Source organism: Homo sapiens, chromosome 12 (genome assembly GCF_000001405.40).
Source record: "Homo sapiens chromosome 12, GRCh38.p14 Primary Assembly".
NCBI classification, from domain to species: Eukaryota; Metazoa; Chordata; class Mammalia; order Primates; family Hominidae; genus Homo; species Homo sapiens.
Window position 1 is genome coordinate 53,646,378 of NC_000012.12, and position 18,161 is coordinate 53,664,538.

Sequence of the window (18,161 nt, forward strand, 5' to 3'; positions counted from 1 at the left end):
AAATCATGCTACTATAAAGACACATGCACATGTATGTTTGTTGCAGCACTATTCACAGTAGCAAGGACTTGGAACCAAATGTCCGGCAATGATAGACTGGATTAAGAAATGTGACACATATACACCATGGAATACTATGCAGCCATATAAAAGGATGAGTTCATGTCCTTTGCAGGGACGTGGATGAAGCTGGAAACCATCATTCTCAGCAAGCTATCACAAAGGCAGAGGACCAAACACTGCATGCTCTCACTCATAGGTAGGAATTGAACAATGAGAACACTTGGACACAGGGCGGGGAACATCACACACCGGGGCCTGTCAGGGGGTGGGGGGCTGGGGGAGGGATAGCATTAGGAGAAATACCTAATGTAAATGACGAGTTGATCGGTGCAGCAAACCAACATGGCACATGTATACCTATGTATCAAACATGCACATTGTGCACATGTACCCTAGAACTTAAAGTATAATAAAAAAAAAAGAAAAACAAATTAAGTGGATATGGTGACCCATTTTATGGATGCCAGTCAGCCCTCTTTCCCAGCCACCCCTGTCATTGTCCAATGGGCTAATAAACAAAATGGCCATGGTGGCAGGAATGGAACTTATGCATGGGCTCTTTAACATAGACTTCCACTCACCAGGGACAACCAGGCTACCACTGCTGCTGAGTGCCCAATCTGCCAGCAGCAGAGACCAACACTAAGTCCCCACTATGGCCAATTTCCTAGGGTGATAAGCCAGCTCCCTGGAGGCAGATTGATTACATTGGACAGCTTCTATCATGGAAGGAGTAGCTTTTGTTTTTACTGGAACAGACACTATAGATACAGATTTGCCTTCCCTGAATGCAATGCTTCTGCCAAAACTACCATCAGTAGACTTATAGAATGGCTTATCCACCATCCTGGTATTTCACACAGCATTGCTTTTGATCAAGGAACTCACCTCACAGCAAAATAAGCACACCAATGAATCTGTGCTCATGGAATTCACTAGTTTTAACATATTCCCCACCATCCTGCAATAGCTGGTTTGATAGAATGGTGGAATGACCTTTTGGAAACTCAGTTACAGCTCCAGCTAGGTGGTAATATATAAGTAAGAGCTGGGGCAAGTTTCTCCAGAAGGAGATATGAGTTGAATCAGTGTCCAATATATGATGTTATTTTCTCCATAGACAAGATTCACAGGTCCAGGAGTCAAGGGGTAGAAATGGGAGTGACACCACTCACTGTTACCCCTAGTAACCCCCTAGTATCCCCCTGGCAAAAAAAAAAAATTTTTTTTTTTTTTGACAGAGTCTTGCTCTGTCGCCCAGGCTGGAGTGCAGTGGCATGATCTCGGCTCACTGAAACCTCTGCCTCCTGGGTTCAAGTAATTCTCCCGTCTCAGTCTCCTGAGGAGCTGGGATTACAGGTGGACAACACCATGTCCGACTAATTTTTGTATTTTCAGTAGAGACGGGGTTTCACCATGTTGGCCAGGCTAATCTTGAACTCCTGACCTCAGGTGATCTACCCATCTCAGCCTCTCAAAGTGCTGGGATTATAGGCGTAAGCCACCAAACCCGGCCACCCTAGAAAATTTTGCTTCCAATTCCTGCAACCTTATGGTTTGCTGGCCTAGAGGTCTTACTTCCAAAGGAAAGAATGCTTTTGCTAGGAGACACAACAATGATTCTACTGAAATAGAAGTTAAGACTGCTAGCTGTTCACAGGACACCTGCCACATGGACTCCTCATGCCTCTGAATCAACAGCCAAAGAAGGGAATCACTGTGCTGGTTGGGGTGATTGATCCCAACTACCAAGGCGAAATTGGACTGTTACTGAACATTGAAGTTAAGGAATAGTATATCTAGAATACAGGAGATCTCTTAAAGTGTCTCTTAGTATTACCATGCCTTGTAATTAAGGTCAATGGCAAACTACAACAACCCAATCCAGGAAGGATTACTAATGGTTCAGACCATTCAGGTATGAAGGTTTGGGTCACTCTACCAGGTAAAGAAACATGACCAGCTGAAGTGCTTTCTGAAGTCAAAAGGAATGGGTACTTGAAGAAGGTAGTTATCAATAACAGCTACAACCACGTAACCAGTTACAGAAATGAGGACTGTAATAATGTTATGTGTATTCCTCTTTATTTTGTTATAAATATGCTTGTGTATGTATACACACACTCACACACACACACACACCTCTCTCTCTTTATATATGTATATGTATTATATTAGTCAGGGTTCTCCAGAGGGATAGAACCAATAAGCCATATGTATATATAAAAGAAGTTTATTGGCTGGGCACGGTGGCTCACAACTGTAATCCTAGCACTTTGGGAGGCCAAAGCGGGCAGATCACTTGAGATCAGGAGTTTGAAACCAGCCTGGACAACATGGTGAAACCCCGTGTCTACTAAAAATACAAAAAAGTAGACAGGCGTGGTGGCGGGCGCCTGTAATCCCAGCTACTTGGGAGGCTGAGGCAGGAGAGTTGCTTGAACCTGCGAGGTGGAGGTTGCAGTGAGCTGAGATCTGGGAGGTGGAGGTTGCAGTGAGCCGAGATCGTGCCTCTGCACTCCAGCCTGGGCAACAGAGCTAGACTCTGCCTCAAAAAAAAAACAAAAAAAACAAAAAAAAAGTTTATTAGGGAGAATTGGCTCACATGATCACAAGGCAAAGTCCCACAATGGGCCATCTGCCAGCTGGGGAAAGAGAAGCCGGTAGTGTGGCTCAGTCCAAGTCTGAAAGCCTCAAAACTAGGGAAGCCAACAGTGCAGCCCTCAGTCTGAGGCCAAAGGCCCGAGAGCCCCCGGGAGGCCGCTGGTGCAAGTCCCAGAGTCCAAAGGCCAAATAACCTGCAGTCTGACATCCAAGGGCAGGAGGAGAGGAAGCAAGTGTCCAACATAGGAAGAGAGAGACAGCCAGAAGACTCAGCAAGAGGCTGGGCATGGTGGTTCATGCCTATAATCCCAGCACTTTGGGAGGCTGAGGTGGGTGGATCATTTGAGGTCAGGAGGCTGAGACCAGCCTAGCCAAGATGGTGAAACCCTGTCTCTACTAAAAACATACAAAAATTAGCCGGGTGTGGTGGCATGCACCTGTAGTCTCAGCTACTGCGGAGACTGAGGCAGGAGAATCGGTTGAACCCAGGAGGCGGAGGTTGCAGTGAGCAGAGACTGCACCACTGCACTCCAGCCTGGGCAGTAGGGCAAGACTCTTTCTCAAAAAAAAAAAAAAAAAAAAGACTCAGCAAGCAACCTTATTCCCCCTTCTTCTGCCTGCTTTGTTCTAGCTGCACTGGCAGCTGGTTGGATGGTGTCCACCCATACTGAGGGTGGGTCTTTCTCTCCCAGTCCACTGACTCAAATGTCAGTCTCCTTTGACAACACCAACACATACACATCCAGGAACAATACTTTACCAGGCATCTAGACATCCCTCAATCCAGTCAAGTTGACACCTAATATTAACCATTACATGTATCAGGCAAATATCTTTGTCTTCCTCTTATTCCCTTATGTAACATAAGACACGGTGGCTCACACCTGTAATCCCAGCACTCTGGAGGCCAAGGTGGGAGGATTGCTTGAGGTAAGAAGTATATATATATATAATATATATATTATATAATATATTATATTATATATAATATATTATATAATATATATAATATATTATATTTATAATATATTATATAATATATAATATATTATATTTATAATATATTATATAATATATAATTATATATATTATATATTATATAATATATATAATAATTATATAATTATAATATATATTATATAATATATAATATATAATTATAATATATATATTATATATATAATATAATATATATAATATAATATATAATATATATATATATAGAGAGAGAGAGAGACAGAGAGAGAGAGAGACAGAGAAATTGCATTTGTGCTTTTTCGGTAATATTTAAGAAATCTTTGCCAAACCCAAGTTACTAAAATTTTCTATAGTTTCTTCTAGCAGTTTTACAGCTCTTACATTTATGTGTATAATTCATGTTGACGTTTTGAGACAATTTTTGTACATATTGAGAGATGAACAGCAAGGTGGCTTTATTTTGCATATTGCTCCAGAACCATTTGTTGAAGTTTATCTTTTCCCCTATTTGAATTACCGTGGCACCTTTGCTGAAATTCAATTGATCATACATATGTAAGGTTTTTTTTTTTTTGAGGCAGAGACTTATTCTGTCACCCAGGATGGAGTGTAGTGGCACCACCATAGCTCATTGCAGCTTTGCACTCTGGGCTTAATGATCCTCCTGCCTCAGCATCCCCAGTAGATGATCCTCCTGCCTCAGCCTCCAGAACAGCTGGGACTACAGGTACATACCACCACACCCAGCTTATTTAAAAAGAAATTTTTCCTGGCCGGGTGCAGTGGCTCATGCCTGTAAATCCAGCACTTTTAGAGGCTGAGGCAGGTGGATCACCTGAGATCAGGAGTTTGAAACCAGCCTGGCCAACATGGAGAAACCCTGTCTGTACTAAAAATAAAAACAATTACCTGGGCGTGGTGGCAGGCCCCTGTAATCCCAGATACTCAGGAGGCTGAGGCAGGAGAATCACTTGAACCTGGGAGGCGGAGGTTGCAGTGAGCTGAGATGGCTCCACTGCACTCCAGCCTGAGTGACAGAGTGAAAACTCTGTCTCAAAATAAATAAATAAATAAATAAAATAAAAATTATTTTTGTAGTAATGGGCTCTCACTATGTTGCCCAGGCTGGTCTCAAACTCCTGGCCTCAAGCAATCCTCCTGTCTCAGCCTCCCAAAGTGCTGGGATTATCAGCATGAGCCACCATACCTTATGTAAATCTCTTTTTGGCTCCGCTTTTTTCCATTGGTCTATTTACCTATGTTTACTTCAACACCACACTGCCTCGACTTACGTAACTTTATATGTCTTCAAATCGAGTAGTCAGTCCTCCAACTTTGTTCTTTTTCTTTTTTCTTTTTTTCAAGATGGAGTTTCACTCTTGTTGCCCAAGCTAGAGTGCAGTGGCACAATCTCAGGTCACTGCAACCATTGCCTCCCAGGTTCAAGCGATTCTCCTGCCTCAGCCTCCTGAGTAGCTGGGATTACAGGCACCTGTCACCATGCCTGGCTAATTTTTGTATTTTTAGTAGAGATGGGGTTTCACCCTATTGGCCAGGCTGGTCTCGAACTCCTGACCTCAGGTGATCCACTCGCTTTGGCCTCCCAAAGTGCTGGGATTACAGGCATAAGCCACTGCCCCCGGCCTATTTTGTTCTTTTTCAAAGCTGAAGTTCTGGTTATCCTGGGTTCTTTGCATTTCCATGTACATTTTATAATCAGCTTGTCATTTACTTTTCTTTTCTTTTTTTCTTAGAGATAAGGTCTTGCTATGTTGCCCAGGCTGGACTTGAACCCCAGGGCTTAAGCTATCCTCCTGCCTCAGCCTCAGCCTCCCAAAGTGCTGGAATAACAGGTGTGAGCCACTGTGCCCAGCCTTGTCATATTCTTTTTCTTTTTTTTTTCAGCCTTGTCATATTCTAAAAAAAGAAAATAGCCTGTCTGGATTTTGACTCATTGACTGGGATTGTGTTAAATCTACACACCAATTTGGGGAGAAATCCATTCTAGGCAACGTAGTGAGACCCCATCTCTAGAAAAAAATAGAAAAAATTGCCAGGCATGGTGACACATGCCTGTAGGTCCAGCTACTTGGGGGGATTGAGATGGGAGGATTGCTTGATCCTAGGAGGTCAAGGCTGCAGTAAGCCATGTTTGTGCCACAGCGCTCCAGCCTGGGCAACAGAGTCTCAAAAGAAAAACAAAACAAAAAACAAAAACAATTTGGGGAGACACGACTGTTAACATTATTGAGTCTTCTGAACCATTAACGTGGTATGTCTCTCCATGTATTTAAGGCCTTTAATTTCTCTCTTTAGTTTTCTGTGTACAGGTTTTGCATATCTCTTGTCAAATTCACCCCTATGTACTTCATACTTTTCATGCTATTGTAAATAGTTTTATAAAACTTCAATTTCTGATTGTTTTTGCTAGTATATAAAAATATAATTGATTTTGTTGTTGTGTTTGGAGACAGGATCTCATTTTGCCACGCAGGCTGGAGTGCAGTGGTGCAATCATAGCCTGGACCTCCTGGGCTCTTCCTGCCTCAGCCTCTTGGGTAGCTGAGACCACAGGTATGCACCACCATGCCTAGCTTATAACTGATTTTTATATGTTGATCTTGTATCTTGCAACCTTGCTAAACTCACTTATTAATTCTAGTGGGTTTTTTTTTGTGGACTCCATAGGATTTTCTACATAAATGATCATGTTATCTGTGAAAAAACACTTTAATTTCTTCCTAAAATGTATACTTTTTCTGGGTTTTTTCGTTTGTTTGTTTTTGAGACAGGGTCTCATTCTGTCACCCAGGCTAGGGTGCAGTGGCATAATCACAGCTTAGTGCAGCCTTGACCTCCTGGGTTCAAGCAATCCTCCTACCTCAGCTGCCAAGTAGCTGGGACTACAGGCACACACCACCATACCTGACTAATTAAAACAATTTTTTTTTTTTGGTAGAGATTGGGTCTTGCTGTGGTGTGTAGGCTGGTCTCAAACTCCTGTGCTCAAGTGATCCTCCCACCTCAACCTCCCAAAATGTTGGGATTATAGGCATGAGCTACCATGCCTGGCCTTGTACTTTTAATTTCATTTTCTTTCCTTATTGCACCAACTGATCTCAAGTATAATGCTGAATATAAGTGATAAGAGCAGACATTTCTGTAGCATTTTATTTATTTGTTTATTTGAGACAGAGTCTTGCTCTATTGTCCAGGCTAGAGTACAGTGGCATTATCTTGACTCACTGCAACCTCTGCCTCCGAGGCTCAAGCCATCCTTCCACCTCAGCCTCCTGAGTAGATGAGACTACAGGCTCATGCCACCACACCCAGCTAATTTTTGTGTTTTTTGCAGAGACGGCATTTCACCAAGTTGCCCAGGCTGGTCTTGAACTCTTGGGCTCAAATGATCCACCCGCCTTGGCTTCCCAAACTGCTGGGATTACAGGCATGAGCCACTGAGCCTGGTCCGCATTTTATTTCTTGAAGCAAACAGAAAGAGAGGGCAAATGTGCACAGGCAGTTGATCTGAGGCAAATATGGCCAAAACGTTAATATCTTTTAATCTTGGGGCAGATGCCTAGGTATCTATTACGTTAGTTTCAGTGCTTTTTAAGTGTTTCAAATCATTCATATTTTGTTTTATTTTTAATTCATGTCAAACTTAAAGAAAAGATGCAAGGATAGTACCAAGTAACTCTTTTCCCCTGAACCATTTGCTGGTAAGGTGATGACATGATGCCTTGTCATCTCTATTTTTATGCATGATTCTTACCAAGTAGGTCATCCTCTTAGAAAGCCGCAATACAGCCACCAGAATCAGAAAATTAATATTTGATACATTACTACCATATAATCCTTGGACCTCATTTAAGTTTTTCCAGTTGTCTCCAAAATATCCTTCAGAGCAAAAAGACCCAGCCCAGAATCACATGTTGAATTGAAAGATCCTTGATCTTTCCTTGACTTTTATGACCTTGACACTTTTAAAGATTACAGGCCAGTTCGTTTGTAGAATGTTCCACAATTGGGTGTGTCCAGTATTTCTTCATGTTTAGTTTCAGGTTATGCATTTTTATCAAGAATTACAACAAAAATGGTGTTCTAGTTGCATACTCTAAGGCTACATATAACTTTGATTTGTCTCATTTCCGGTAATGTTGACGTTGATTTCTGGATTATGGCAATGCTTGCCATGCCTCCACTATAAAATTATTCTTTTTCCCTTTGTAATTAATGAGTATTTTATGAGAAAGTACTTCAGGCTATGGAAATATCATATTCCTCATCAAATCACCCACTAGGTTTAGGATTTGTTGATGTTTTGTGGCTTATTTACTAATTTATTTATTTATTTTTGAGACAGAGTTTCACTCTTGTTGCCCGGGCTGGAGTGCAGTGGCGCGATCTCGGCTCACCGCAACCTCCACCTCCCAGGTTCAAGCGATTCTCCTGCCTCAGCCTCCCAAGTAGCTGGGATTACAGGCATGTGCCACCCCGCCCAGCTAATTTTTTGTATTTTTAGTAGAGACAGAGTTTCCCCATGTTGGTCAGGCTGATCTCCAACTCCCGACCTCAGGTGATCTGCCCGATTTGGCTTCCCAAAGTGCTGGGATTACAGGCCTGAGCCACCACGCCCAGCTGGGTTAGTTATTACTATGATGGTTACTAAATAATATGCAGGTATTCTAATTCCATCATTCCTTCTATATTTACTGTCATTTTAGACAGAAAAGTTTTTTCTTCTCATTTATTGTTTATTTCTTTTGGAGTGACTCATGGATTACTATTTTATTCAATGGATTTTAATATTTTACTGTCATGATTTAGTTTGATGTTCAAATTGTTCCAGATTTGGCCAATGGGAGCCCCTTCAAGCTGGCTCCTAAAGCCTTTGATATGTCTCCATCATTCTCTGAGCACTTCCATACCTTCTGGCACAACCAGATATTTCAGGTTCATCTTGTACTTTCCCTCCCCAGCCCTAGAATCAGTCCTTTCTCCAAGGAGCAATGGTTCTTTTAAAAGGAGAATGGTATTTGGAAACCAATACCAGGTGTGATCAATGCTACTGGTGTACTGTGATTCCTTCAGTGAACAGAATTTGTGGAAATGTATATGTGTGTATATATATATATATATAATCAATGTTATTGTGGTGTCACGATTCTCAGTGAACAGAACTGGGGGTAATATATAATTTATATATAAATATATATAATATATAATTCACATATAAATATATATATAATTCATATATAAATATATATATAATTCATATATAAATATATAATTCATATATAAATATATATAATATATAATTCATATATAAATATATATAATATATAATTCATATATAAATATATATAATATATAATTCATATATAAATGTAAATAATATATAATTCATATATAAATGTATATAATATATAATTCATATATATTTCACTTTGGTTATTTCCAATTCTAACCTAATGTTACAGGGTTAATTCTAATTTTTTCCTGTTCTACAGTTGAGACCCTTGTCTGGCAGCAAGAAATCTGGGTTCCTTTATCTTCAATATATTTATTGACATAATCAATCCCCCCTAATATGTAAACAATCTCTATTGCTATAAATGCCTGCCCCTCCCCGCTGCCATGGATGCCTTTCCTTACTCTACTTGAGCTCTACCCACAGAGCCTCTCCCACTGAAGCTGTCCCCATATAGAATCAGAACCTTCTTCATCCTCCTCAGGCTCTAACACCCTGAAATGGGCCACTGTTGCTCCTCATCTCATTGGACTCCTGTATTCCCCACCTAATAACTTTTAGACTGAATTTCTCAGGGAGAAAGGAAGGAAGAAACAGAGGAGGACTGGCAGACAGGCTCATAATTATTATTTTTATTTTTTATTTTGAGACGGAGTCTCATTCTGTCGCCCAGGCTGGAGTCTGGTGACGTTATCTCGGTTCACTGCAACCTCCGCCTCCTGGGTTCAAGCGATTCTCCTGCCTCAGCCTCTCGAGTAGCTGGGATTACAGGCGCCCACCACCATGCCTGGCTAATTTTTGTATTTTTAGTAGAGATGGGTTTTCACCATGTTGGCTAGGCCAGTCTTGAACTCCTGACCTCAGCTGATTTGCCTGCCTTGGCCTCCCGAAGTGGTGGGATTACAGGCGTGAGCCAACATGCTTGGCCTCAAAATTATTTTTTAATTAAGAAAAAAAGTCTCCAATCATTTTGACTGCTGATTGTCATTCATAGGAATATTGCTGGCTATTCCTTTACTTGTGGCAGAAAGGAAATCAGGTTTCATTATTAGACCAGGTGTGGCTAATCTACGTCCATGATAGTATTTCTAATAGCTTACATAGTTACACCAAAAGGAACCATATTTGAGGTTATTAGCTATACACATTTAGGAGACAACAGAATAGCTGTGTCTACAAGAGCAACCAAAGACCAAGTATTATTTCATTTTTGACTAACCTCTGAAGAAGTACATACCTCTAGCTAGATAATATGCTCTAGGTACTTATAGAAAGCCATGCCCGGGCCGGATGTGGTGGCTCATGCCTGTAATCCCAGCACTTTGGGAGGTTGAGGCAGGTGGATCATTCGAGGTCAGAAGTTCAAGACCAGCCTGGCTGACATGGTGAAACCCTGTCTCTACTGAAAATACAAAAAAATTTAGCTGGGCATGGTGGTGCATGCCTGTAATCCCAGCTACTCAGGAGGCTGAGGCAGGAAAATTGCTTGAACCTGGGAGGTGGAGGGTGTGGTGAGCTGAGATAGTGCCATTGTGCTCCAGCCTGGGTGACAGAGAGAGACTCCGTCTCAAAAAAAAAAAAAAAGAAAAAAAGAAAGGCTTTGTTTACCACCACAAGATGTCTGGATTTTATTCAAAGTCTGTTTAGCCGCTGGAAGTCACTAAAAGATATTAAGGAGGGTGATTGATGAAACTCACATGTTAGATAACTCTAGCAGCAATATAGAGTTTGGATTGAAGAAGGAAGATATTGGAAACCAGAAGACATTTTGAATAACTTCCTGATTTTTAGGAGGCAGCACAGTGCAGTGGAAAGAGCATTAAATGGCTTTGGCTTTGGAGTCAGATGGATCCAAGATGGATTCAACCACCTGTTAGGGGTTGAATTGTGTCCCCCTCAAGTACATATGTTGAAGTCCTAACCTCTTGTACTTTGGAATGTGACCTTATTTGGAAATAGGATCATTACAGATGTCATTAGTTAAGATGAGGTCATACTCAGTAGGGGTGGCCCCTAATTCAATATGACTGGTGTCTTTATAAAAAGCAGAGGTTTGAAAGAAAAAAAAAAATGGAGGTCTGGCGCGGTGGCTCATGCCTGTAATCCTAGCACTTTGGGAGGCCGAGGGGGGCGGATCACTTGAGGTCAGGTGTTTGAGACCAGCCTAGCCAACATGGTGAAACCTCATCTCTACTAAAAATTACAAAAATTAGCTTGGCGTGGTGGTGGTGCGTGCTTGTAGTCCCAGCTACTCGGGAGGCTGAGGCATGAGAATTGCTTGAACCTAGGAGGCAGAAGTTGCAGTGAGCCGAGATCACGCCACTGCACTCCAGCCTAGGCGACAGAGCAAAACTCTGTCTCAAAAAAAAAAAAAAAAAAAGTGGAAACTTGGACACAGATACACACACAGGGACAATACCATGTGAAGATGAAAGCATAGACTTACAAGCCAAAAAATGCTAAAGATTGCTAGCAAACCACTAGAAAGCTATGGGAGAAACGTGGAACATATTTTTCCTCACAGCCCTCAGAAGAAACCAACCCCACCAACACCTTTATCTTGAACTTCTAGCCTCCAGAACTGTGAGATAGTAACTTTCTATTGTTTTATTTATTTATTTAGTTAGTTAGTTAGTTACAGAGGCAAGATCTGACTCTGCTACCCAGGCTGGGGTATAGTGGTACAGTCATCGCTTACTGCAGCATAAAACTACTGGGCTCAGGAGATCTTTCTGTCTCAGTCTCTCGAGTAGCTGGGATTACAGGTGCACACAAGCATACCAGCTACTTTTAGTAACTTTCTATTTTTTTTTAAATTTTTTTTTGAGACGGAGTTTCGCTTTTCTTGTCCAGGATGGAGTGCAATGGCACGATCTTGGCTCACTGCAACCTCCATCCCCCGGGTTCAAGCAATTCTCCTGCTTCAGCCTCCTGAGCAGCTGGGATTACAGGCATGTGCCACCACACCCGACTAATTTTGTATTTTTAGTAGAGACGAGATTTCACCATGTTGGTCAGGCTGGTCTCAAACTCCTGACCTCAGGTGATCTGCCTGTCTCGGCCACCCAAAGTGCTGGGATTACAGGGGTGACCAACTGCGCCTGGCAACTTTCTATTGTCAAAGGCACTCCGTTTGTGGTATTTTGTTATAGCAGTCCTTGCAAACTAGTATATCATCTATGTGACCTTGGCCAAATTATTTCATCTTGCTAATCCCTAGTGTCCTAATCTGTAAAGCAGGGGTCATTATATCTACCTCATAGGGTGGCTTTGAGGATTAAATAAAATGGCATTTGTAAAGCACCTGGCATAAGCGGCACTACATAAATATTATCTTGCATTTGTGAGACACTAATGTTATCCAAGAAAAGAAATACATCTCTGGAGATTTTTGAAAAGATTGACTGCAATTGTCAGGGTCGTGTGCAATACCACCTAAAGTCACAGGCTGGATAAGATGATCTCAGAATCCCCTTTTCCTGTTGGGTTCCTTAGACAGGAGCTCTGGCATTGTCTTGCTGTCTGTGAAAATGGTTTTTTTTTTTTTTTGATAGAAAACTGGTACAAGAACCAAAAGCACCCTTAAAGGCAGGAGGACTGAGGCCAATTAAACTAACAACTGTAATGAGGTGGATGTAGGAAGAGAAGGAGGCAAAAGAGGGTCGAGAAGTATAACCCAGATGCCTCAGGCCTCCTGAGTCCCCAGCTCACTTCCTTAGGTAAAAGATTTAGGCTGAGAGTTGTCCTCTCTTCAGCTCTGTAAGGGAAAACCAACAGAGGCCTCACCAGTCTCTGGAACGCCTAGCTCTTTCAGGCAGGGAGTCTTTTGCCAAAGCAAACAATCCCAGCTCTACGATTGTGCTCTGGCTGGGGTAGGAGAGAACAAAGATCCCTTTCTTTGCTTCCCCAACCCTATGGCTCCAGCCAAAGGCACTGTTTACACAATCTTCCCTGGTGAAGAATTTGTTCCTTTTCTCTCTAGGTTGCAGCTGGAAAAGATTGATTCTCTCCTTGCCTATTCGTTTTTCCCATGTCCCTGGGCAGGAAAAGTGTCCAATACCCAAACCTCCCACCTCCAGAGATGTGGGCATACTTAACAGTAACTTCAGGCCCTTTTGTGATGTGACAGAGAACCTTGATTTTAGTGGCAGAAAGCCTATCTGGCCAGGAAAGGGAGGCTGGAAACATCAGGAGCTTGGTTTCTCTACATTCCAATTCCATTTATTCCACTCTCTCATTCCCTAGGCTTTCTCAGGCACATTTCCAAAAGTGAATCAAATAATCAAAATCCATGGCAGATTTGGGCTCCTTCTTTTAAAGCCTGATCAGGTGGGTAGGATGAAAATAGTATTTTCTAGTGGGAGAAGTTATTCTTTAGTCTTTAGTTTATTATTAACTCCAGCAGCACAGATGTCTCCTCCACGCCCCGAAAACAAAAGCAAGAGGGAGAAAAGGAAAGCCCAGAGTGGTAGAGTCTAATTTTAGTACTGGCAGAGAATCCTAGTGTTAAGTTACTTCTGGTAAACTGGTAACTAAGAAACAACAGAGATAAAGATAATTTTCACAATTTAGGTTTCCAAGTAGTTTTAAGACCTAATTTTGCTTATTTCCATGACATCTCAGGGAGGCAGATAAGGTGTTACCCATTTCACACAAGAGAAGGAATTGAAGCACAGGAAGAATTAACCAAAAGCCATTCATGAGTGACTGGAACCCAGGATTCTGGGACTTTCAATCTGGTCAACTTCACAGGGCCAAGCTGCTTTCTGAAAAATTTATGGGTCTTTTGTACTGCACACATTTTCCCTGAGCTACATTTTCTCCCTATCTTAAATCCCTACTGACTATTCTCCTGTTGCTAAGCGAGCTATGGGCTAGCTGTTTGTTACCCTTTGCAGCTATGTTTTGGAAACTTGAAGTCCCTACTCCAGATGTTGGGAGATGGGAGTGGAAAAGCCATGGGGATACAGAGGGGTTACAAGTCTGTTTAGGCTCAGATACCATCCTGACACACACGCGCGTGCACACACACACACATACAGGCTCACCCCAACCACCCCCCAGCAAGATATGCAGAGTTCATTTCTGTAAAAGCAGCCACACAGTTCCTGGAAGGCTGTAATCCACTATGGTTAAAAATATCTATCTTGGGGACAGAGCCGAGCCAACCAAACAGCCTACCCATAAACTCAGAAAATAAGCAGTGGGGTAGAATGAACCCAGTGGTAGGCAAAATGCTACCTATCTGTAAGATAAGAGCAGGGATAGTAATAATAAGAAACACAGATTAAGGCTGGGCGCGGTGGCTCACACCTGTAATCCCACCTCTTTGGGAGGCCGAGGCAGGTGGATCATCTGAGGTCAGGAGTTCGAGACCAGCCTGACCAATATGGTGAAACCCTGTCTCTACTAAAAATACAAAAATTAGCTGGGCATGGTGGCGTGTGTCTATAATCCCAGGTACTCAGGAGGCTGAGACAGGAGAATCGCTTGAACCCAGCAGGCGGAGGTTGCAGTGAGCCGAGTTTGCGCCACTGCACTCTAGCCTGGGTAACAGAATGAGACTCCATCTCAAAATCAACAACAACAACAAAAACCCCAAAAAACAAAAACCAGATCAATCACCTTCACTGAGAAACTTCAGAAATTGTCCAGATTTTGTCTTTCCCTCTCCTCCAATGGTATCCTGACCCCAGGAAGCAGTATAGTATAATGGAAGGAGCTTTGGACAAGGGTTCTTATTCTGTTCTGTCACTTCCTACCTAGATAACCTAGAAAACTAAGTCATGATTCTTTTCTCTTTCATTCTTTTTTTTTTTCTGAGATGGAGTCCCACTCTGTTACCCAGCATGAAGTGCAGTGGCACAATCTTGGCTCACTGCAACCTCTGCCTCCCAGGTTCAAGCGATTCTCCTGTCTCAGCCTCCTGAGTAGCTGGGATTACAGGTGCATGCCACTATACCCAGCTAATTTTTGTATTTTTAGTAGAGATGGGGTGTCACTGTGTTGGCCAGACTGGTCTTGAACTCCTGACCTCAGGTGATCCACCTGACTCGGCCTCGTGAAGTGGTGGGATTACAGGCGCGAGACACCGCGCCCAGCCTTCTTTCATTCTTTTATTTTTTTCTGAGCAGAGTCTTGCTCTGTTGCCCAGGCTGGGGTGCAGTGGTGCAATCTTGGCTCACTGCAACCTCTGCCTCCTGGGTTCAAGTGATTCTCCTGCCTCAGCCTCCTGAGTAGCTGGGATTACAGGTGTGCGTCACCATGCCCAGCTAATTTTTGTATTTTTAGTAGAGACGGGGTTTCACCATGTTGGTCAGGCTGCTCTTGAACTCCTGACCTCGTGATCCACCTGCCTTGGCCTCCCAAAGTGCTGGGATTACAGGTATGAGCTACCACGCCCGGCCTCATTCATTTTTTTTTTAAAAACAGACAAGGTCTTGTGATGTTGCCCAGGCTGGTCTTGAAATCTTGTGCTCGAGAGAACCTTCCGCCTCAGCCTCCCAAGTAGCTGAGATTATAGGTATGTGTCACCCTGTCAGGTCCAAATCATGATTCTTGAATCTGAGTCTTAGTTTTCTCATCTGTTAAAACACCAACAAAACAAAACACCAAAAACCAAAAAACCACACACCTATTTCACATAAACAAAACAGATATACTAAGAGTATGGCATACGTTTAAAAAAAAAAGTTTTTTTTTTTTTGAGACAGAGTTTTGCTCTGTCGCCCAGGCTGGAGTGCAGTGGCATGGTCTTGGCTCACTGCAACCTCTGCCTCCTGGGTTCAAGCGATTCTCCCACCTCAGCCTCCTAAGTAGCTGGGATTACAGGTGCATACCGCCACACCAAGCTCATTTTTGTACTTTTAGTAGAGACAGGGTTTTGCCATGTTAGCCAGGCTGCTCTCAAACTCTTGATGTCAAGTGATCCGCCCAACTTGGCCTCCCAAAGTGCTAGGATTACAGGCGTGACCCACTGCGTCCGGCCAGGGTAGGACATTCTTAAGGGGTCACTTAAAAAATTCTGCCCACCTTAGCACTTCAAAAGATGAGAGAAAATTTCTCTTTGGTGGTTGGGGGAAGCAGCAGGAATAAATTATCTCTAACTAACCATTTACACTAATAAGAGAAGCCAAGCACTTGGGATGAAGAGGACTAACCTCATGCCTGGTATTCTATCCCTGTCTTCTGCCATTTCTAAAGTGGCTACTTTGATTACAATATGCTAATATTCACAGTGCCTTGAGATAAATGCTTAAAAATATATATTTTTTGAGACAGAGTCTTGCTCTGTTGCCCAGGATGGAGTGCAGTGGTGCGATCTCGGCCCACTGCAACCTCTGCCTCTGGGGTTCAAATGATTGTCCTGCCTCAGCCTCCCGAGTAGCTGGGACTACAGGCGTGCGCCACCATGCCTGGTTAATTTTTGCATTTTCAGTAGAGATGGGGTTTCACCATGTTGGCCAGGATGTCTCCATCTCCTGACCTCATGATCCGCCCGCCTCAGCCTCCCAAAGTGCTGAGATTACAGGCATGAGCCACCACGTCCAGCCAAAAATAAATTTTAAGGATGCCTGGGGACAAAAAGATCTTCCTGTGTTTTACTTTTTCCTCATCAAATGGTGAGAACGCCACGATATCCAGGAATGTCTCCTAAGAATACATGTTGGAAAATGCATGCTATTTTGAGATACGGCCCAATAAAGACAAAGTTTTGGCTGGGCACAGTGGCTCACGCCTGTAATCCCAGCACCTTGGGAGGCTGAGGCGGGCAGATCACCTGAGGCCAGGAGTTCAAGACTAGCCAGGCCAACATGGTGAAACCCTCTCTCTAAACATACAAAAAATTAGCTGAGCGTGGTGGCACGTGCCTGTAATCCCAGCTACTCGGGAGGCTGAGGCAGGAGGATCACTTCAACCCAGGAGGTGCAGGTTGCAGTGAGCCAAGATTGTGCCACTCCACTCCAGCCTGGGTAACAGAATGTAACTCTGTCTCAAAACAACAAAAACAACAAAAAAAGACAAAGTTTCACTGCTTAGAACTTGAGGGACCAGGACAGCATTCTCTACTCACTACTGCGATACTACTACCCTTTTTTTTTCTATTCCTGAATTATACATGAATATTCCTTCATCTCATCTGTGTGGAGACACAGAGCTGCCCCAGGTTCCTGGACACCAACTCAAGCCAAATTACCATTGTTCCTGGTCAGCTTTCTCATCCTGATGCCCTTGGAAGGCCTCAAACTATTAAATCCATCTTGAAAGGGAGGCTGGAGCATGGTTCCTCATTACCGTTGTTCAGCATTGAGGTGATTTTCAAAGGGCACCATTTGCTTCTAATTTTAGGATGGCACAAACCTACTGACGCTCCTCCTGTGGTGCTGAAGAAACACAACTGACTCTTGTAAGAAACTGAGAAGAGGGAAGCAGGTCTTGCTGCCTTCAGCATCCTTGGGTTTTCTCTCTAGATGCCTTCTGGCCACTTTTTTTTTGAGATGGAGTTTCTCTCTTGTTGCCCAGGCTGGAGTCCAGTGGCACAATCTCAGCTCACCACAACCTCCACCTCCCGGGTTCAAGCAATTCTCCTGCTTCAGCCTCCCAAGTAGCTGGGATTACAGGCACGTGCCACCACACCTGGCTACTTTTGTATTTTTAGCAGAGATGGGGTTTCTCCATGTTGGTCAGGCTGGTCTCGAACCCCCGACCTCAGGTGATCTGCCTGCCTCAGGCTCCCAAAATGCTGGGATTACAGGTTGAGTCACCGCCCCTGGCCCAGACTTTTAAAAATTTTGATTCCAGGCCAGGCATGGTAGCTCACGCCTGCAATCCCAGCACTTTGGGAGGCTGAGGCGGGTGCATCACTTGAGGCTGGGTTCGAGACCGGCCTGGCCAACATGGCAAAACCTCGTCTTTACTAAAAATACAAAAAGTAACTAGCTGGGCATGGTGGTGCTCGCCTGTAATCCCAGCTACTTAGGAGGCTACAGCAGGAGAATCGCTTGAACCTGGGAGGCAGAGGTTGCGGTGATCTGAGATTGCACCACAGCAGAGTGAGCCTATCTCAAAAATAAATAAATAAATAAATAAATAAATAAATAAATAATCCAATGAAGGATTTGGAAAAAAATTTTTGAGACAGTCTTGCTCTGTTGCCCAGGCTGGAGTGCAGTGGTGCGATCTCTTTTGGCTCTTTAATGCTCTTTTGGCTGAGGGTGGATGGGAACCAGAAAATAGCTTCATGGAGGTTAAATTTAAGTCT

The 18,161-nt window shown here is 43.1% G+C and overlaps 1 annotated feature.

Annotated features, from left to right (window-relative positions):
- Nucleotides 2,668-2,962: a silencer, noted in NCBI's record as "tiled region #2395; K562 Repressive non-DNase unmatched - State 23:Low". NCBI's record gives its function as "represses a minimal TATA promoter and a strong SV40 promoter by Sharpr-MPRA in K562 cells {active_cell/tissue: K562}" and the evidence as "EXISTENCE:reporter gene assay evidence [ECO:0000049][PMID:27701403]".